Raw genomic sequence first — 20,993 nt, forward strand, 5'->3', positions numbered from 1 at the left:
CAGGTAAGAGGTTGTGAGAGAATAAATAGCCCACCATACTTCAAATATTTACTATCTGGCCCTTTCCAGAAAAGGAAAGCTCTGCTATAAGTAGAGAATTAGGGCAGTAGCTAAGGAGGAAGGCGTTCAAGAAAGGGTTGTCAAAAGGAGAAATAACATTTTTGCATGCTGATAGGAACGATTCTGTGGAGAGAAAAAAAGTTGAAGTTGCAGAAGAAAGAATTGCTCGGATGATGTTCTCAAGTATAACATCAGAGGATGTTATACCTGGAATGAGGATCAGGTGCCCCAGTGGAAGGGTTGGCTTTACTAGGAATATAGACACATGTATCTCTCATTATCACTGTATGAAAAGATGTGGTACCTTACACATGAGAGCAATGTAAAGTTTAAACTCTTTGTTTCAGGTTTTCCTTTCCTTATTTATTTATTTATTTTTTTGACAGTCTCACTCTTTCACCCAGGCTGGAGTGCAGTGGCTCAGTCTCGGCTCACTGCAAACTCCACCTCTTGGGCTCAAGCGATTCTTGTCCCTCAGCCTCCCGAGTAGCTGGGATTACAGTCATGTACCACCAAGCCCAGCTAATTTTTGTATTTCTTTTTTGGTAGAGATGGGGTTTCAACATGTTGGCCAGGCTGGTCTCGAACTCCCGAGCTCAAGCGATCCTCCCGCCTTGGCCTCCCTCAGTTTTTACTTATTAGAATTGGCAAAGATAAAAACTGTGGCTAGGTGGGGTGGCTCACACCTGTAATCCCAGCAATCTGGGAGGCCAAGGTGGAAGGAATGCTTGAGGTCAGGAGTTCGGGACCAGCCTGGACAACATGGTGAGACTCCTGTCTCTATAAAAAATAGAAAATACGAAAATTAGCCAGACATGGTGGTGTGTGCCTGTTCCAGCTACTCAAGAGGCTGAGGAGGGAGGATCTCTTAAGCCCAGAAGTTTGAAGCTGCAGTGAGCTGTGGTCAATTACACCACTGGACTCCAGCCTGGGCAACAGAGCAAGACCCCATTTCCTAAATAAATCAATAAATATTATTTTTAAAACCTGTGATAATTTGCTCTGTTGGTGAGTGTGTGGGGGAAACAGGAAGTCACACATTGCTGGTGAGAATGTAAATTGGAACAATTTCTCTGTGGAAGACATGAAGAGTCATCAGGAAGCTTAAGGCCTGGGAGTTCCTAGGGGATCATCTATCTAGAAAATTTACCCTGGGAAACTGACCTTCAAGTCTCCCTTGCAGAGATTATGCAGGAATGCACTGGAGTGACTCCAGTGCCCTTCTCTGGTCAGGAACATAGCCAGGGTCTCCAGAACATATAGAGGGTGTAAGACAAGGAGAGTTTTTGCAGAAGCTGATGGGAGCCAGCACACAGCACCCAGGGAAGTTTGCCCTTGTGGAAAAGACGGCTGCCAAAACTCCCGCTCCATGCAATCTTCTTAGAGTTTAAATTCTCCTATCCTTTATCAAGGTCTAAGGAACTTGTTTCTTTTGCCTGTGTCTGATGGTATCTATTGCCAATCATCTTCCCCCACACAGAGGGTGAGACCTATCAACTTTTTAAATGCACATACATTTTGACCAAGCAATACCACTTACGGCAATTAATACTACACATATGTTTTATATATGTGTGAAGACATTCACTGTAGCATTGTTTATAATAGCAAAAAACTGGAAACAACTGGAATGGCCATTAGGGAACTATTTGAATATCATGGCATAGCCCCGTACTGGATAGACACTGAAAAGAACAAAGAGGCTTTATATAAACTAATATGGAATGATTTTCCAAACGTGTTAAGTGAGAAGAAGCAAAGTAAAGAACATATATGGGCCAAGCATAGTGGCTTGGTGTTTACATACATTAGATGTTAGAGGTACATACTAAAGAGGCAGTTTAGGCTGGGCACAGTGGCTCATGCCTGTAATCCCAGCACTTTGGGAGGCTGAGACGGGCAGATCACTCGAGTCCAGGAGTTTGAGGCCAACGTGGCCAACATGGTGATACCTCATCTCTACAAAAAATACAAAAATTAACTGGGCATGGTAGCGTCCACCTGTAATCCCAGCTACTTGGGAGGCTGAGGTAGGAGGATTGTCTGAGCCCAGGAGATTGAGGCTGCAGTGAGCTGGGAGCGTGCCACTGCACTACATCCTGGGCAGAGTGAAACCCTGTGTCAAAAAAAAAAAAAAAAAAAAAAAAAAAAAGAACAGATATGGATGGTATGTGGATATTGCTGAATTGCTTCTTCCTTTTCTTTTTTTCTTTTTCTTCTTTTTCTTTTTTGGAGACAGATCTCACTCTCACCCAGGCTGGAGTGCAGTGGCTTGATCACCACTCACTGCAGCCTCAACCTCCCGGGCTCAGGCAATCCTTCCACTTTAGCCTCCTTAATAGCTGGGACCATAGGTGTGCACCACCACGCCCCAGCTAATTTTTATTTTTATTTTTTTGTAGAGAGAGGTTTCACCATGTTGCCCAGGCTGGTCTTAAACTCCTGGGCTTAAGCGATCGGGCTGCCTCAGCCTCCCAAAGTGCTGGGATTACAGGCATGAGCCACTGTGCCCAGCCTAAACTGCCTCTTTAGTATATACCTCTAACATCTAATGTATGTAAACACTAGGACTGATTTTCACCCTATTTCTTAACTTTTTTATAGTTATACATGTGATTTTGCACACTACCACCAGAGGGGGCCTCTGCCACACTTCACGCAATATTTACAAGTCAGTATGGAGGATGTTTATTAAATAATTTTTATATCTAGAACATTCTTGTTCATTTAGCATAGGCATTTTGGTGCTCAGCTTTAAAAAAACTCTGTGAGCCCCCTGGCTCATCCGTCTTCTTTAGCATGTCAGTCCACAATCCCTGTGTCCAGTACGCCCTGACCCTGTCATCTTCCTTTGCTGTGCTGGATTCCTGAAACTGAAAATGCCTCACAACTTCTATGCACTCTTACCCTCAAAAGAGTGCATTTAGTGGCATGGCTGTGCCAGCCGTCTTTGTCCAGATGGCTTCCAGATAGGAATCACTGAGTCCAGGAATACTTTGAGAAGCCTGGAGAGCCTCTACTCTGAAAGTTTATCATCACTGCAAACTCAGCGAGTCCAGATTTTGCTCAACACATGCTGTCTGCTTTCTGTTTACCCCTCTAGTCTTTACTAACAGACACTTTATATATATATATACACACAGCCAGGCGCGGTGGCTCGCGCCTGTAATCCAAGCACTCTGGGAGCCCGAGGCAGGCGGATTACTTAAGCCCAGGAGTTTGAGACCAGCCTGGGCAACATGGTGAAACCCTATCTCTACAAAAAATACAAAAATTAGCCAGGTGTGGTGGCACGTACCTGTAGTCCCAGGTACTTGGGAGGCTGAGGTGGGAGGATGGCTTGAGCCCAGAAGACTGAGGCTACAGTGAGCTGTGATCATGCCACTGCACTCCAGCCTGGGTTGCAGAGTACGACCCCACCTCAAAACAACAACAGCAGCAAAAAAATCTTATTGAGGCATGGTTTAATAAAATATAGCTGTTTAGGTGTATAGTTCCATGACTTCTGACCAACCTACTAACCCAGGCAATTATTACCACAATCAAGATAAAGAACATTTCTATCACCCCAAAAAGCAAATGCCCTCCTCTCCCCACACTCAGCCCCAGCAACAACTGCTCTCCTTTCTGTCACTATAGATTAGATTTGCCTCTTCCAGAATTTCAGATACATAAACATGAATCAAACGGTCTGTACTCTTTCGTGTTTGGCATCTTTATCTCCACATAAGGTCTGGAGATTCATCCATGTTGAAGTGTGAATCAATTTTGCTTTCTTAAATGTCATTCCATTATTTTAATATGATATGCTGCAATTTGTTGATCCATTCAGACAGGTACTTCTTTTAACTTGTTTTTGCTGGTAAACACCCTGATGGGCATCTGCTCACTGTACATGTCATTTTCTTTTGGACAGAAATGCTAAATTTACTATTATTTGTTCATTTATTTTATGTTTTTCCAAAATGGAAACATCTTTCTGAAACAATGGGAAAGGGATCAGAATATGCCACCCCAGGCTGGGCATGGTGGCAGGGCCTATAATCCCAGCATTTTGGGAGGCTGAAGTGAGAAGATCCCTTGAGGCCAGGAGTTTGAGACCAGCCTGGGCAATAAAGCAAGACCCTGTCTCTACCAAAAACAAAATAAAATAAATTAGCGGGGCGGGGTAGTGTGTACCTGTAGTCCTAGCTACTTGGTTCAAGATGACAGTGAGGTATGATCACACTACCACACTCCAGCCTGGGCAACAACAAACAAGACCCTGTCTCTATAAAAAACAACAAAAAAAAAAACAAGCAAATAAAATGATAATAGTAAAAGTAAAAAAGAATGTGCCACCTCAAAACATGCCATATTGGCATAAGGATTATTTTGAGCTAAAGGCAACTGAGAAACAGCAGACACAAGCAAAACTCTTTGCCCTCTCTCTTTCTACCTACAAACGTTTGCCTAATTTCCCTTTGCAAAGGTGATGCCCTCTCCCATACCAGAATAAGGTGAACAATTCATCTGCATAACACACCTCACTAAACAAGCCTTAATTACCATGCCTTTCCCAGTTACCTTCCCACAATTTACCCACACCAGAGAAGCGCAGCCTCTCCCCATTTCCCTTGTCTAGTAGCTTCCCACACTTTATCATCCTCTGTTAAAATGCTGTATAAGCTCCTGGGTCTAAGCACCTCTTTGGGATTTTCACTTTTTTTCTGTGAAGCTTACATATGCAAACAAAATAAACCTTTTCGTTTTTGTTTGTTTTGTTTTGTTTTTGAGACAGAGTCTCACCCTGTCACCCAGGCTGGAGTGCAATGGTGTGATCTCGGCTCACTGCAACCTCTGCCTCCTGGGCTCAAGTGATTCTCATGCCTCAGCCTCCCAAGTAGCTAGAATTACAGACGCCCAGCTAATTTTTTGTATTTTTTGTAGAGACAGGTTTTCGCCGTTTTGGCCAGGCTGGTCTCAAACTCCTGACCTCAAGTGATCCACCAGCCTCAGCCTCCCAAAGTGCTGGGATTACAGGTGTGAGCCACTGCGCCCGGCCCTATTCGCCTCTTTTTATAAATTATATGTAACTGATGGTGTGTAAATTCTGTCCTGTCTGGCAATAATTTAATTGGTTCCCGCCATCCCCACCCTATGAAAATACCAGTTTTGTTTCCATTTGCAATTCATCTTAACATTCCTTTACTCCAGATAAATCTGTGCTTTTTGACTTTTCCTTTGAAATGTTTATAACGTACATCTGATTCCCTTATAGCATATGCGTAAATTCCTTAACAGATGTGCACTTTTATATTTGTATGAGTCATGATTTTATCTTTCTCTGAAAATTATTTTTTAACAACCCTTACATTGTTTACAGTGTTTCGATTCTGAAATCTTTGTGTATTTGTAAAATTTCCTACATAGGATAAATTCCTAGATGAATAGTTGTCCATAAGTATCCATGTTGTCCAAATGCCTTCTAGAAAGTTTGTAGAAATCTCTACAACAGAGAGCAGCACAGGAGTCTGTATTCCTACACCTTCATCTATATTATGTTTATCAATCTTTTTCAACTTTGCCAATCTGATAGGTAAAAAGTGATTTGTAGTTTTAATTTGCTTTTCTTCAATTCCTATTGAAATTGAGCATCTTTTTATGTGGATTTCTTCTTTAGTGAAGTATCTTATCATGCCCTTTGCCCATTTTTCACCTGGTGCATATTTTTACGTAAACACCCCTTTATTTGAAAAATTAATTTTTGCTTACATACTATTGCATATATTTTCTAGTTTGTTGACTTTTAACTTTGTTTATGATATATTTTGTTATGCATACATTTAACACTTTAATGTATTAACTATATCAAACTATTTTGTGTGTGATTTTAGCTTTGTTGCCATTCTGAGAAATGCTGCCTGCTCTTAAAAGGGATCAACCTGTTTCTTTTTAAAAACATTAAAGAACTTACATGTATGGGTTTTAGAAACATATTTCAGGCTTTACTCTACCTGGAATTTGCATGCTTAGGAGCCACACTTTCTTTTTTTCCTGGACAGTACATTTATGATTGAATTTGCTTTCTCCATGCTTTGAAAGTAGTACCTTACTCTTTTATGTCTTCCTCATGTTCTTTTCAATGTAATTTGATTAAATTTCTAAAACAATTCAAAACTAATTTTGTAGCATTTGTCAAAATAAATCTGGATTTAGGCAAGGGGAGACTTTATTCAAAAGGATTATTGCAAGAAGAGGATGGGTGGCTATCATAAAAGGATGAGGAGAGCTCTTTAGCCAGTGCTATTTTTCAGAAAAACAAGGCTCTGGCAAAGATCAACACTGTTGACCTCCCTTTTGTTAATGATAAAAGAATATTATTCACCACTGAGCAATTCAGATGCAATCCTAAGCCTCCTACATGGGGTGAGTCAGGGACTAAGAAACGGTCTCCTGGGGACTCTGGTTGGTGTTGTTCCCACAAAACCAGCTGAAGCATCTGTTGAAAGGTGGTGGCAAAAATCAGTTGTTTAAGGGTCAGGTATCTTAAAATGAGGAATGCCTACCATTAAAAAGATAAATGTTAATTAAAAGTTTTAATATAAAAGGCCAAAGAAATATTAATCTTGGCATCTACAAGCCAAGGAGAGAGGCCTCAGAAAAAGCCCAACTCTGCTGACACTCAATTTTGGACTTCCAGCCTCCAGAATTGTGAGAAAACAAAATTCTGTTGTTTAAAGTACCAGTCTATGGTACTTTGTTGACAGACCTAGCAAAGTAATATACCTACAGAGAAAACTATGAAGTAGATAATTAGCTGTCTGTCATATACCAGCATATTGTAGCAGACTAGTCAAGCTTAAGGTTATATATCTTGTGACTTTTTTATAGCCATACACTTCCTTATAGTACAACTTTTCTTTTCTTTTCTTTCTTTCTTTTTTTTTTTTTTTTTTGTTGTTGTTGTTGTTGTTTTGAGATGGAGTCTCTCTCTGTCGCCCAGGCTGGAGTGCAATGGTGTGATCTCGGCTTACTGCAACCTCCACCTCCTGGCTTCAAGTGATTCTCCTGCCTCAGCCTCCCGAGTAACTGGGATTACAGGCCCCTGCCACCACATCCAGCTAATTTTTGTATTTTTAGTACAGATGGGGTTTCACCATGTTGGTCAGGTTGATCTCAAACTCCTGACCTCAGGTGATCCACCCACCTTGGCCTCCCAAAGTGCTGGGATTACAGGTGTGAACCACTGCACCTGGCCTGTACAACTTTTCAGTGTGGCAAGAATGAACACATCATTAGCAGACCAAAATATATTTAGCCTCTCTGTACTAAAAAAAATTTACATAAGCTTTAAATTATGCTCCACTAGTCTATCTTACTTAGAAATGATCTAGGTACTTATATTAGACCATTCTTGTATCGCTATAAAGAACTACCTGAGACTGGGTAATTTATAAAGAAAAGAGGTTTAATTGGCTCACAGTTCTGTACGCTGCACAGAAAGCATGGCTTGGGAGGCCTCAGGAAACTTACAATCATGATGCAAGTTGAAGGGGAAGCAGGTACATCTTACACGGCTGGAGCAGGGGGAGGAGAGGCAGGGAGGAGGTGCCACATACTTTTAAACAACCAGATCTCATGAGAACTCCATGACAAGACAGCACCAAAGGGATGGTGCTAAACCATTAGAAACCGCCTCCAGGATTCAATCACACTCCATCAGGCCCCACTTCCACAACTGGGGACTACAATTCGATATGAGATTTGGGCAGGGACACTGATCGAAACCATATCACCCCCGAAGTGGGAAGGGCTCCCTACCCAGCTAGTTTCCCCTTCAGCCAGACCAGCTGTACCCTACTTAATCTTCAATCTAAGGAGCTTTACCTACCTGCCAGCCCACAGAACTATTTGAACAAGCCAATTACATCCTCCCGTGGAATAAAAGGTTACCTCACTCTTGTGCCATTACTACAAAGCCTGCCTCACACAGCCCCTGCTGCTTCAGTCTGCTTTCAAATGCAATTCCCATGTGGCTCTGCCTGGCATGCAATAACCTCCTCACCCCTTAGGCTGTGAGTATGTAACTGAAAAAACTGTAGCCAATCTCATCTGCCCAGTATTGGGTGTCATCTGTTCAGCCATCTCCTGTTTAGCACAGGAGATCCCTGCTTCACCAGTGCTGTGAAGAGAAGGTGGTCAGAACAGAAGGGAGGCCTAATCTTGAGTGACCATGAGTTGAGGAGCTGGAGTGGGTAGGAAAAGGTGTGTAGGAATGGGTAGATGGGTGAAGGAGGTGGACAGATTAAATCATTCAAGGCAACAAAAGAGAAGGTTTAAAGTGGTAAAAAGGAGGGATGAGGATGATGGGAAGGGAGAAGTCTTAGATGAGCTGGTTTAAGGAGATCTCATGTTTCCCAAAGAGGCCTTTGAGGTTCTAGGTTACCTTTAGTAAATTGTGCCATTTTTGAGGCTATTAAACTGAATTAGTGCCATAATAGCAGGTACTCAGTGGGGGAAGAGGAGGGCATCTGATAGAGTGAGAGTTACCCATGGCATTAGTGGATAGTCAGCCCAAAGAAAAGTCTTTAAAGGAGCCAAGAAAAACTCCCACTTGATTAATTCCCTTGAACAATCCCCAGGTCGAGGAGCTGAGGAAACACAGAAGTCTCACAGGAGGGCCAAAGCATCTCTTTGCCTGAAACAATCAAAGTAACCTCTTACTGTTCTTCAACAGACAAGATGGCCAGAGCACTGGTTCAAGACTTGAACTCACCCAAGAGTCCTCAAGTCCTGAACATGGCACCTTTACCTGGGTGGGGCTGGTGGAGGTCCCTAGGTGAGTTCCAGTCTTGAGCTGGATCACAGCAATGAGAACTGTCAAATAAAAACCAAATCCAGATCTAGGTAAGGAGAGACTTTATTTAGAAGGATTATTGCAATAGAAAAAGAGAATGTCGCAATAGGGGAGGGACGGCATTCTAATAGAATGCTTCAACCATAAGATCTGCAAGCTTTTGAAAGGTCAGGCAGAAAAGGGTTTTTCTTTTTTTGGTAGTAGTAAACAATGTTAAAAAGAACCAGTATCGGCTGAGTGCGGTGGCTCATGCCTGTAATCCCAGCACTCTGAGAGGCCAAGGTGGGAGGATCACCTGAGGTCAGGAGTTTGAGACCAGCCTGACCAACATGGTGAAAACTCGTCTAAAAATACAAAATTAGCTGGGCATGGTTGGTGCATGCCTGTAATCCCAGCTACTTGGGAGGCTGAGGCAGAAGAATCGCTTGAACCCGGGAGGCGGAGGTTGCAGTGAGCTGAGATTGCACCACCATTGTACTCCAGCCTGGGCAACAAGAGCGAAACTCTGTCTCAGAAAAGAAAAAAAAAAAAAAAAAAAAAAAAAAAAGAACCAGTATCAGGGAGTGGGATGAGCAGGTGGCCCAATCAGGCAACTGATCAGGACAGAGTTTCTTTGTGGTCAGCTGGAAAAGGGCTTCTTGGGAGGGGATGTGATATGGTTTGGCTGTGTTCCCACCCAAACCCCACCCAAATCTCATCTTGAATTGTAATCCCCATAATCCCCACGTGGTGAGGGAGGGGCTTGGTGGAGGTGATTGGATCGTGGGGGCAGTTTCCCCCGTGTTGTTTTTGTGATAGTGAGTGAGTTCTCAGGAGATCTGATGGTCTTATAAGGCTGTTTTCCCTGCTCTTGCTTGCTCTCTCTCATCTGCCGCCGTGTAAGATGTGCCTCTTCCCCTGCTGTCATGATTAAAAGTTTCCTGAGGCCCCCCCAGCCAGGCAAAACTGTGAGTCAATTAAACCTCTTTTCTTTTCTTTTTTTTTTTTTTTTTTTTTTGTTAGACAGAGTCTCACTCTGTCGCCAGGCTGGAGTGCAGTGGCATGATCTCAGCTCACTGCAACCTCCGCCTCCCGGGTTCAAGCGACTCTCCTGCCTCAGCCTCCTGAGTAGCTGGGATTACAGGCGTGCACCACCACGCCTGGATAATTTTTGTATTTTTAGTAGAGACAGAGTTTCACCATGTTGGTCAGGCTGGTCTCGAACTCCTAACCTTGTGATTCGCCCGCCTCAGCCTCCCAGAGTGCTGAGATTACAGGCGTGAGCCACCGCACCCAGCCTTTAAACCTCTTTTCTTTATAAATCATCCAGTCTCAGAAATGTCTTTATAGCAATGTGAAAGCAGACTAATACAGGACATTAAGGGGCTTATTCCAAATTCCAATGCTGGTTTAGGCTGAGACTAGATTAAAGGGCAAAGACCTGATGGAAGGAGAAAAGCCTCATTGAAGTTTGATCAAGTAAGGTATTTGCCCAGATTGATCAGTAGGGGCAAATGGTTCAGCTAACCATTTATAAGATGAGAATGGAAATTTGGAGCGCATGTCTATGGCCTTGTTGTAAGTGTGAAAGGATGTTATCCATGATGATTACCTAAGTCATTTGGGGAAAGGTGGTTCTATGTAGTTAGTGGTTTCTCAGAAAATACAGCCGGGAGAGGATGTTCACTGGTCTCCAGTAACACAAAGTATAGGTCAAGCAACACCATCCCCTTACTTTTTTTTTAATTTATTCTTATTTATTTATCTATTTTTGAGATGGAATCTTGCTCTGTCACCCAGGCTGGAGTGCAGTGGCATGATCTTGGCTCACTGGAACCTCCGCCTCCCAGATTCAACCGATTCTCGTGCCTCAGCCTCCCCAGTAGCTAGGATTACAGGCATGTGCCACCGCACCCAGCTAATTTTTATATTTTTAGTAGAGACGGGGTTTCGCCATGTTGGCTAGGCTGGAACTCGAACTCCTTACCTCAAGTGATCTGCCCACCTCGGCCTCCCGAAGTGCTGGGATTACAGGCATAAGCCACCATGCCCTGCCTCTGTCCCGTTATTTGATTGTACTTGTAACTATAGTTTTATTATGACATTTTAAGAATATATTGCTATTGTATTAATCATTACTATGACAGCTGTGTTTATCAGACACTTTCCCACATCTATAATATTAGGAGAGTTGGGTGTTTGTGATCATGAGTTTGCTCCTTGTGCTGGTTATTGAAGTATGTCTTAGAGTTCAAACTCAAGCTTCTATCTTCTGCTTTGTGAGCCAGGGCTGGGACTTAGCAAATCACATTTCCTATAAGGTTTTGCTTATAAGGGGTGCTTGAGGAGAGGGACTTGCTACTTTATAGCTGCTTACTGTTCCTGTCCATGTTACCAAGCAATGGCTCTTCTCCCTGGCTGCAGCAACAGCTGGTTCCAGTTTCTTAGATTTGTTTGTTTGTTTTAATCCACCCTCTCCCATCCAGCCTCAATATTTACCTTCAGAGATAAAAGCACCAGCTGGGTACCGCCCCCTCCTTTGAGGTCTGACTCCCAGCCAACCAGGGGCCCTCTCCTGGCTGTTAGGTTCTGATAACCCCAACACTTCCCCTCTCCCCAGCTCTGTGCATGGCAGCTGCTTCCTGCAGTTACTCTCTCTCTGTTACTACAATGTTTTTGCCTTGCCAATCTTCATGACCTTAAATTCTCTGTAAAAGTAATTGCTGTGATTTCTGTTTTCTGACTGGGCCCTGACTGATACACCCCTAAGCATTCCAGAAATACCTTCTAAACTACTTGTATAGATTTATGGGTGTATGTTATTGCAGGCATTAAAAATAAGTGGGCTGGGCAAGGTGGCTCACACCTGTAATCCCAGCATTATGGGAGACTGAGGTGGGTGGATCGCTTGAGCGTGGGAGTTCAAACCCAGCCTGGGCAACATGGTGAAACCCTATCTCTACAAAAAATACCAAAAAATTACCGGGCATGGTGGCACACACCTGTAGTCCCAGCTACTTGGGAGGTTGAGGTGAGAGAATCACCTGAGCAGGGGTAAGTTGAGGCTGCAGTGAGCTGTGATTGCGCCACTGTGCTCCAGCCTGAGTAACAGAGTGAGACCCTGTCACATACACAAACAAAATGGATTACACTTATGGTATACAGGCAGTATCCAACTGACAAACAAGATATATTCCAAAAGTTAATTCATAAATCTATTGCTTGGCCACCACCCCTGGTTAATTTATCTATTTTTATTTTGTAGAGGTGAGGTCTGGCTATGCTGCCCAGGCTGATCTCAAACTCCCAGGCTCAAGTGATACTTGTACCTCGGCTTCCTAAAGTGTTGGAATTACAAGCGTGAGCCATTGCAAACAGCCAGCTATATTTTATTTTTAATTAATTAATTTATTTATTTTTGAGATGGAGCCTTGCTTTGTCACGCAGGCCAGAGTGCAGTGGCACGATCTCAGCTCACTGCAACCTCCACCTCCCGGGTTCAAGCGATTCTCATGCCTCAGCCTCCTGAGTAGCTGGGACTGCAGGCACACGCCACCGCAGCTGGCTAATTTTTGTATTTTTAGTAGAGACGGGGTTTTGGTATGTTGGCCAGGCTGGACTCAAACTCCTGACTTCAGGTGATCCACCCACCTCGGCCTCCCAAAGTGCTGGAATTACAGGCATGAGCCACTGTGCCCAGCCCCGGCTATACTTTAAACTTATGTTTAGCAATTAACATGTCAGTATTTTAACTTACAAATGACTCAGACATTTAATGAATATCTATTACTTAATTTAATATGTTCGAAATTTCAAGTCACCAAAAAAGATTTTTAAAACTATTTTTAAGTAGACAAATTTTATAAAACAAATTATTTTTAAAAGTTTATAAACTTTTATTCCATTTACATTTACCTAATCTACTTGCTCTTAACAATTATGCTTGAATTGCTCATGAAAAATTTCATGAGATATTAAACAAAGCTAGCCATTGAAGGAGTTCAGGAGTTTTTCCCAAAATCATTTCCTCTCCCCTAAATTGTCCCTCCCCAATGAAGAGGATACACAAGCTCCTAAAATCTCAGTTTTTGTTGGGGGAGGCAGAGGGAATATTAGTTTTTCTTTTCTGTGATACCCCCTACACGAAATCTGTGTACTTTTTCTCTTGTTAATCTACCTGCAGTCAATTTATTTCATAGACTTAGTTATCCAAGCCTCAGAGAGTAGAGGGGAAGTCTTTCTTCCTCTATACCATCATCTTATGTTAATTTTTGTTGACAAATCAGGCAAGTGTCAAACATATCACAGTCTAATGGCCTCTGAGTTGGATTTTTTTTTTTTTTTTTTTTTTTTTGAGATGGAGTCTCGCTCTGTTGCCCAGGCTGGAGTGCAGTGACACGATCTCGGCTCACTGCAAGCTCCGCCTCCCGGGTTCACGCCATTCTCCTGACTCAGCCTCCCGAGTAGCTGGGACTACAGGCGCCCGCCACCACGCCTGGCTAATTTTTTGTATATTTAGTAGAGACGCGGTTTCACCATGTTAGCCAGGATGGTCTCGATCTCCTGACCTGGTGATCCGCCCGCCTCGGCCTCCCAAAGTGCTGGGATTACAGGCGTGAGCCACCGCGCCCGGCCAGAATTTTTTTTAAACAACATGGAAACAAATAAGACCTCGTTCTGTTTTCTAGGAGCTAAAAATCCAACGAAAGAAGACACAGACACAATATTCCCCTTGTTACAAAGAGAACTGTGTCAACTTTTATAACTGACACAAAGATCTGTGCTATAAGGGCGGGGAAGGTTTTTTCCTACTTTCCACAGCACTGTGGATTGTTCCACAGTTTAATTTGATCTTAATTTTTATGTGGAAATACACATGAATGTAATGAGTTCTTAAATGCTAAATTTAGGAAGCAAGGTTCGTTAGGGGAGAGAAAAAAACACCTACATGGTTATCTCTAAACTTTACATATCGAGAACCTTGGAATTTAATTTTATTGTTGTTCTGTAACATATTTTCATGTTTAAAATCAGAAAAGGCAGCATTTCTCGAGTTTCCTGCTTTCGAGGAAGGGAGGCATAAAATGTTTAAAAAGACGCCGCTCACACACCTCTTAAGAATCAGAGCACAGTGAGGAAGAGGAGCGAGGAAGCACTAGGATCGCAGCGCTACTCCCAGACCACGTCAGTGCCCAGAGGGCGCCCTCGCCTGTAGGCGGGAACCGCGAGTCCGCAGCAAGTCCCCAGCCCCGAGCTCGCGCAGGTGGGCGAGGCGGGGACGTGGTGGGCGGGGCCTAGAAAGGCGGGGCCTCTGGGGGCGGCCCCGGGGCGGGCCACGCTGGTGTGAGGGCTGCAGGCGCAGCTCCGGAGCGCCTAGAGCGCGGCGCGGGGCGGGAGCTTGGTGGAGCAGGAGCGGCTGGGCATCCTCCTGAGACTCCGGGGTCAGACGCCCACTCCAGGTAACCGGCTCTCCCTCGTGTTCCCCTGCTCGGCCGCCCGGCGGTGGGGGAAGGCTGAGAAGGATGGGTGGGAGGGAGCCGGCTCTCAGCCAGTGCCCCGTGGCCCCGGGCGGGCTGGGCTCCCCCGCGGAGGAGGAAGCAGAACCGGGGTGCGCCCGGGACCGGAATGGAGCGGCGCCTCTTCCTTCCACCTTCATTTTCCGTCCGCTCAGTGGGGCTGGGACGCCGGTGCCCCGTGTCCCCTGAAAGTCACTTTCTGGCCTCTTGCCCCTGGTCCGTGTAGCTTAGATGTCGGAGGGGTTGGCTGCGGGCGTGGATAGGCAGGGAACGAACAGACTCGCTGCCATCCCATGGGTGCCAGGGGCTTAACTTCATTTAACTTCATTGAATCCTAACGCCAGCCCGGCTAAGATGCATTTTCACCCCTACTTTACTGATAAAGAGGCCAACGCTAGGATAATAAATGACTCACCCTGGAGCAAACTATTACTAATAAGAAAAGAGACGTTAGTTTAGGGGCTCCGAAGCCTCTCCTTTCCTGCTCCCTCGCTTTCCTTCTTCTCGCGGCAGTCTAGGAAACTCGCGCGCAGGGTCTATTACGAAAACAAGTGATTCGTCTTAAAAGCATTTTACCCCCTCCTAGGTTTCTCTTTCCTCTTTTTTTTAAGTATCTCAGGCAGATTCCTCCAAGTTTTGGTTATTAGGTTTTTGAAATGGAAGAAGCCCTTGCTCACTGCTTCTTTTCTCCTGGCAGCGCTTTCTGCGCAGCACAGGCACCCTCGCCTGTCACGCCTCCCTCTCCTCTTCCCGTCTCCCAGCGTGGATGAGGGCGCCTGCAGATCCCGGCTAGGGCACGGACCGCCTAGGCCGAGGTAGGTTCTGTAGGCACCTGGCATGCTGTAGATGCATATAAACGTTGCCCTGTACACCCTTTGCCTTGTTATTTCTTTCTGCAGAAAAGAGAGTCGGTTTTTTACACATAATGGGGCAAGAGGCCAATTGGGAAGATATATGGTGTTCAAAGAAAGCCGTGGTGCCTTGAGATGAGAATGCGGCCACAGCTTTTTGTGGGCTGAATTTGATGGGTGGGAGGTGAGAGACGTGGTCTGGAAGTTGTCTCTTCGTCTGGCATTCTGCCCCCCTTCCAGAGCTGTTCTGAAAGGCCGGTTTGTTTTATAGAGGGGAGGAGGAGGGCTTAGTAGTTTTTAAAGATCAGTGTAAATTACCTGCTAGGAGCTTAGGCAATTCCAGGCAGGCCCCCCTGCTGGAGGCTTTCGTAACAGATTTCAGTTCTAGCAGGGAGGAAAACTCAGACTGTGTAGATACCTGCTTTTTCTTAAAGGAATTTTTTTCGGGCCCTTAAAATGGTAGTTTTGGGAAACTGATTTCTTAGAAATGGCAAACTCCTTTATTTTAAAATACAATATACCAAACTATGAATTTACTTTTAAAAAGTTTTATTGGCCGAGAGGTTGATATTTTTTCCATTTCATGATGAGGGTTTGACGGTCACTGCCACCTCCTCTGCCCGTCCTTCAACTTGGCCCTGTAAAGGATCTCCTTAGCCTTGGCCCCAAGTTTGTACTAGATTCTATCCTTCATTAATTATAGTTCATTCTTGATTAATGATAGCAATGCTTCCACTCACTTTTTAAGGAGTTACTCCTTTTCCGTTTGTAATTGAATTGCTTAACAGTAAGAAAAACGTTTTTCCCTAAAACTGGGATCACAAAATCCACTTTATCCACATGGACTAAACAGGTAATGCACAAGAGTGCTTGGTTGGGCCCAGGTGACTGCAGAGGAACCTGCTAAGGCTGGGTGGATATTGGCCATTTCCACCGAGTATCCATGCAGGAATTCCCATTCAGCCATACAGTGTAGGCAGCTTTTTTTTTTTTTTTTTTTTTCCACGAATAGCTGAGAACTTTTACTTAAAAATAAAAAATGTAAAGCCTGATTTTAAATATTGGCTCATATTTTTTCCTTTTTAGAACACAAAGAGGGCCGGGCGCAGTGGCTCACACCTGTAATCCCGGCACTTTGGGAGGCCCAGGCGGGTGGATCACGAGGTCAGGAGTTCAAGACCAGCCTGGCCAAGATGGTGTCTCTACTAAAAATTCAAAAATTAGCTGGGCGTGGTGGCTAGGCGCCTGTAATCCCAGCTACTCGGGAGGCTGAGACGGAGAATTGCTTGAACCCGGGAGGCGGAGGTTGCAGTGAGCCGAGATTGCACCACTGCACTCCAGCCTGGGTGACAGAGCGAGAGTCTGTCTCAAAAAAAAAAACACACACAAAGAGCCTGGGCATGGTGGCTCACACCTGTAATCCCAACATTTTGGGAGGCTGAGGCAGGTGGATCACTTGAGGTCAGGAGTTCAAGACCAGCCTGACCAACATGGCAAAACCCCATCTCTACAAAAATATTCAAAAATTAGCCAGGTGTGGTGGTGGGCACCTGTAATCCTAGCTACTCAGGAGGCTGAGGCAGGATAATTGCTTGAACCCGGGAGGCGGAGGTTAGGATGAGCAGGGATCGTGCCACTGCACTCAAGCCTGGACGACAGAGTGAAGCTCCGTCTCAAAACAAAAATCCCACAAAGAATAAAATCAAATTTGTTTCATGCATCATCTGTTTGCAAAACTCTGCCTTAAAAACTGCTACTGTACACGGTGATTATATTCTCCGATGAATGGAAAATTCTGAACTGTGATGTAGATATTGTACATTTTTCATGAAATGAAGTGGTAGAAAACAGAAATTACTACTGGAAATGATCCCTTCTGACTGTCAAATTCTGTTTTCTATGAAGTGTGTGGTATTTCAGCTATACTGTATTTTTTTTTTTTTTATAGAGCCAACCAAGGACTCTTGTCACTATTTTTATTTATTCTAATGAGAAATGTATTCATGGTTCCAGGTCAGTATGTCAAATGTCTAACTCCCTGTCTTAAAAAGGGAGTTCCCAAATGACTGTTCATATAACCATATGTGTTTCTTGTGGAGACTGTCTGTATTCTTGGCTTTGTCACTGGATTTGTGGCTTAGTGCTGTCACGTTTCCTATCTGAGGCAAATGCCATATATGTTTAGACCAGCCTTTCTCAATTGTGGCACTTTTGCCATTTTTGGCCAGTTAAATTCTGTTGTGGGGGCTGTCCTGTGCATTGCAGGATGTTTAGCAGCATCTCTGGCCTCTACCTACTAAATGCCAGTGCACCCTCCCTGCAGTTAAATGACCCCAAATGTCTCCAGACATAGGCAAATGTTCCCCGGAGAACAAAGTCATCTTTGGTTGAGGAACAAAATGAACCTATATTTAAGATGGTCTAAATGTTTCTGAGATGGTCTAAACATTTATAAGCTTAACAATTAACTTGAAACTCTTCAGGACTAGAGAAGCTATTTGTAAATTTAAACATCTGACGCCTTGAAACACCTTTATCATAAAGATAACTAAACCAGTGTTCTTTGTGAATGGCCAATGTGTCCTGCCAGTTTCTTTTTTTTTCTTTTTCCTATTCTGAGAAGCATGCCCTGCCAGTTTCTATCTCCAAAGAAATTTCAAGCGTTCAGTGTATTTGTTAAATTTCATAAAGTTTAAAAAGTTGAAAATGAAAAAGGAATTCTACGGTAGTTTTAAGTAGAATTTAGTTTTAAGAAAAATTAACCTCTTTTTAGCTAACAGCAATAAAACGAAGACTGCTGTGTATTTCTGTAATCTGAAAAATCTCGACTTTCTCAAAGGGAGCGCTACATAATGTATGATATAATTTATATCAGAAGAAAACATGTCCTAGAAATGTAACCCTCTTTCTTAGGACTTACATGTGCTCAGGGAGGTTGAAAACAACCTTGATTATGGAGGATGCCTCCTTAGCTGGGGATTAGCTATCCACTGTTCCCTTCCAGAAATCAAACTAATTTGTAAAACTCAGGACTGGCTACATAATTTGTGGGGCCCCTTGTTAAAAAAATTAAGAATTTGAACATGGTGACCACAGAGCATTAAGCCAAGCACGGCCCAGTGTGACTGCGTTGGTTGCCCACCCATGAGCTGGCCCTGGTGAAACTCTTTATTCATAGCTAAGAGTAAGGTTGTGGTCACAAATGCAAATCTAAACCGTGAAATGTTACTGCTGCCACTAGGCACCTGGAGTTTCTGCTTCCTTGATTGTTCTTCTGTTTCCAATGAGGAGTCTGCATGTATTTGGTCATCAATGCAATAATGTTACTAAGAAATCCTCCCATGATTGATTTTTCGTTTGCTAAAGAGGTAGCCAAATGTTTGTTCATTAGAGTCATGGGTACTGGAGCAACCTATTTATTCAGGCATTCATTGAACAACTATTTACTGAGCATCTGTTAGATGCCCGGCATTGCTCGCTCCAGGGCCACAGCTGTGAACAAGATGGAGGGTCCCTGCCTTTATGAGCTTATGAGCCAAACACATAGTCACACCGGCTCAGGCTATCACAATCTTAAGTGGTACTTAGGAAAGCACAGGGTGTTAGGGGAGCATGTGACCTTGAGACCTAACCTGGTTGAGGGGAGAGGGACTGTTCAGGGAAGACCTGCTTAAAAAATGATATTTAAAATAAGGCCTGGGGGCAGGTATGGTGGCTCACACCTGTAATCCTAGCACTTTGGGAGGCTGAGATGGGAGAATCGCTTGAGGCCAGGACTTTGAGACCAGCCAGGTCAACATAGCGAGACTCCCATCTCTTTTTTTGTTTTTTTTTTTTTTTGTAAAAATAATAATAAAAAAAAGGCTGAAGGATTAGTAGGAGTTAGTGAAGTACATTAGGGGATAAACTTAGAGGCTGAAAGAGTTGAGATCAAGAGTAAAATATGTCTTGGGTCATTTTTAGGATTTTGGACTTTAATGTCAGCATAGTGGAAACCCACTTTTTGTTTGTTTGTTTGTTGCAGACAGGGTCTCACTCTGTTGCCCAGGTTGGAATGCAGTGGCACCATCTTGGCTCACTGCAACCTCCACCTCCCAGGCTCAGGTGATCCTCCCACCTCAGCCTCCTGAGTAGCTGGGACTACAGGCACACGCCACTATGCCTGAGTAATTTTTGTATTTTTAATGGAGATGGGGTTTTGCCATGTTGCCCAGGCTGGTCTCAAACTCCCGAGCTCAAGCGATCTGCCCACATTGGCCTCCCAGAGTGCTGGGATTACAGGTGTAAGCCACCATCCCTGGCCACTAAAGTGTTTTTGATTTGTGGTTGTTTTGTTTGTTGAAGACAGTGTCTCACTTTGTTGTCCAGGTTGGAGTGCAGTGGCTATTCACAGGTGAGATCATAGCACACTTCAGTTGAACTCCTAGGCTCAAGTGATCCTCCCACTTCAGCCTCTCAAGTAGTTGAGACTATAGGCATGGGCTACCATATCTGACTAGAAGTAGTTTTATTTTAAACCCATCAAGTCCTGAGTCCTTCATGTTTTCTCTAAATTCTACTTAAAAATTGAATATACTTCTTTAGTTCATCTCTCTCACATTTTCTCAAAGGCAGATACTGGGCCAGATAGCACTTCCTACATTCTTCTCAGAAATGTTCTTAGGCAGATCCCTGATATGGTGAAATATCCTCTCAATTTTCCTTGTTAGGGCAGGCAGTAGTGTTGCTCACATTCCTCCAGTTCATTTTCTCCAGTTTCCAATGAGATTTTTTTGTTTTTGAGACAGTCTTGCTATGTTGCTCGGGCTGGAGTGCAGTGGCTATTCACAGGAGCAATCATAGCACACTGCCATCAAACTCCTGGGCTCAAGTGATCCTCCTGCCTCAGCCTCCCTTGTAGCTGGGACTGCATAGGCCCTGCTGTGCCTGACTCTGATTTGAGTTTTTTTTTTTTTATTTTTTTTTAGACGGAGCCTTGCTCTGTCACCCAGACTGGAGTGCAATGGTGCAATCTCGGCTCACTGCAACCTCTGCCCCAAGTAGCTGGAATTAGATGTGCGTCACCACACCCAGATAATTTTTGTATTTTTAGTAGAGACGGGGTTTCAGCATATTGGCCAGGCTGGTCTTGAACTCCTGACCTCAAGTGATCCTCTCACCTCGGCCTCCCAAAGTCCTAGGATTACAGGTGTGAGCCACCGCACCTGGCCTAATTTGAGTTTGTAAAATGATCGCTGTTGCTGTGTAGAGAATAGTTTAGAGAGGTAGGTCCTGCTGGCACGTTTGGTGTCTTTGTGCAAACCCAAGAAAGGCTTCTATTCTGTGTGGACCAATTAGAAAAAATGCACCACTGTGTCCCAGCTAGGCCAGGTCAAAAGGCTTCAGCCCCCTGAGCCAGACTTGTTACGCAGGCACAGCCTGTGCAATCATGTGGCCACCCTGGGGAGGAGGAGGGTGGATGTGAACAAACAGTGCTTTTGCAGTCACCCAGTGATGGCGTAGCAGCACTGGATAACGCTTAATGACAGGTGAGGATTGAGATTGAGTGAGATTGGGTTTGTAGTTAAAATCAGCAAGAAGGTGGTGATTATTTGGATATGGTTGATGGAGAGGGAGGTAGCAAGGATGATTCAAAAGTTTCTGGCATAAACAACTGAGTAGGATGGGATGGTGGAACCATTATGGTGATTGAGAACACAGGAGGAGGAGCGGGTTGGCACGAGGTGTGGGAGGGAAGATAATGCCTTT

The 20,993-nt window shown here is 44.1% G+C and overlaps 1 protein-coding gene across 9 annotated transcripts in view, besides 4 other annotated features; it reads left to right on the top strand.

Moving 5' to 3' along the window:
- Positions 1–20,993, top strand: part of GCNT1 (glucosaminyl (N-acetyl) transferase 1) — a 113,548-nt gene that overhangs the window by 51,100 nt on the left and 41,455 nt on the right. Inside the window, exons 1-3 of one of the 9 annotated variants that reach the window (XM_047423227.1) lie at positions 14,214–14,337; positions 15,092–15,209; positions 16,332–17,258. The exons of 5 other annotated variants lie outside the window; for them this stretch is intronic. The gene's annotated coding sequence lies outside the window, so the exon portion shown is untranslated. Of the gene's footprint in view, positions 1–14,213; positions 14,338–15,091; positions 15,210–16,331; positions 17,259–20,993 lie in introns of those variants that run through there. 3 more of the 9 variants (XM_047423228.1, NM_001490.5, NM_001097633.2) reach the window with 3 other exon arrangements.
- Positions 13,999–14,538: a silencer, noted in NCBI's record as "silent region_19960". NCBI's record gives its function as "represses an Ori minimal core promoter by ATAC-STARR-seq in GM12878 lymphoblastoid cells {active_cell/tissue: GM12878}" and the evidence as "EXISTENCE:reporter gene assay evidence [ECO:0000049][PMID:35858748]".
- Positions 15,149–15,258: an enhancer, noted in NCBI's record as "active region_28474". NCBI's record gives its function as "activates an Ori minimal core promoter by ATAC-STARR-seq in GM12878 lymphoblastoid cells {active_cell/tissue: GM12878}" and the evidence as "EXISTENCE:reporter gene assay evidence [ECO:0000049][PMID:35858748]".
- Positions 15,529–15,598: a silencer, noted in NCBI's record as "silent region_19961". NCBI's record gives its function as "represses an Ori minimal core promoter by ATAC-STARR-seq in GM12878 lymphoblastoid cells {active_cell/tissue: GM12878}" and the evidence as "EXISTENCE:reporter gene assay evidence [ECO:0000049][PMID:35858748]".
- Positions 18,435–18,484: a silencer, noted in NCBI's record as "silent region_19962". NCBI's record gives its function as "represses an Ori minimal core promoter by ATAC-STARR-seq in GM12878 lymphoblastoid cells {active_cell/tissue: GM12878}" and the evidence as "EXISTENCE:reporter gene assay evidence [ECO:0000049][PMID:35858748]".

This window comes from Homo sapiens, chromosome 9 (assembly GCF_000001405.40).
Source record: "Homo sapiens chromosome 9, GRCh38.p14 Primary Assembly".
Taxonomy (NCBI): Eukaryota; Metazoa; Chordata; class Mammalia; order Primates; family Hominidae; genus Homo; species Homo sapiens.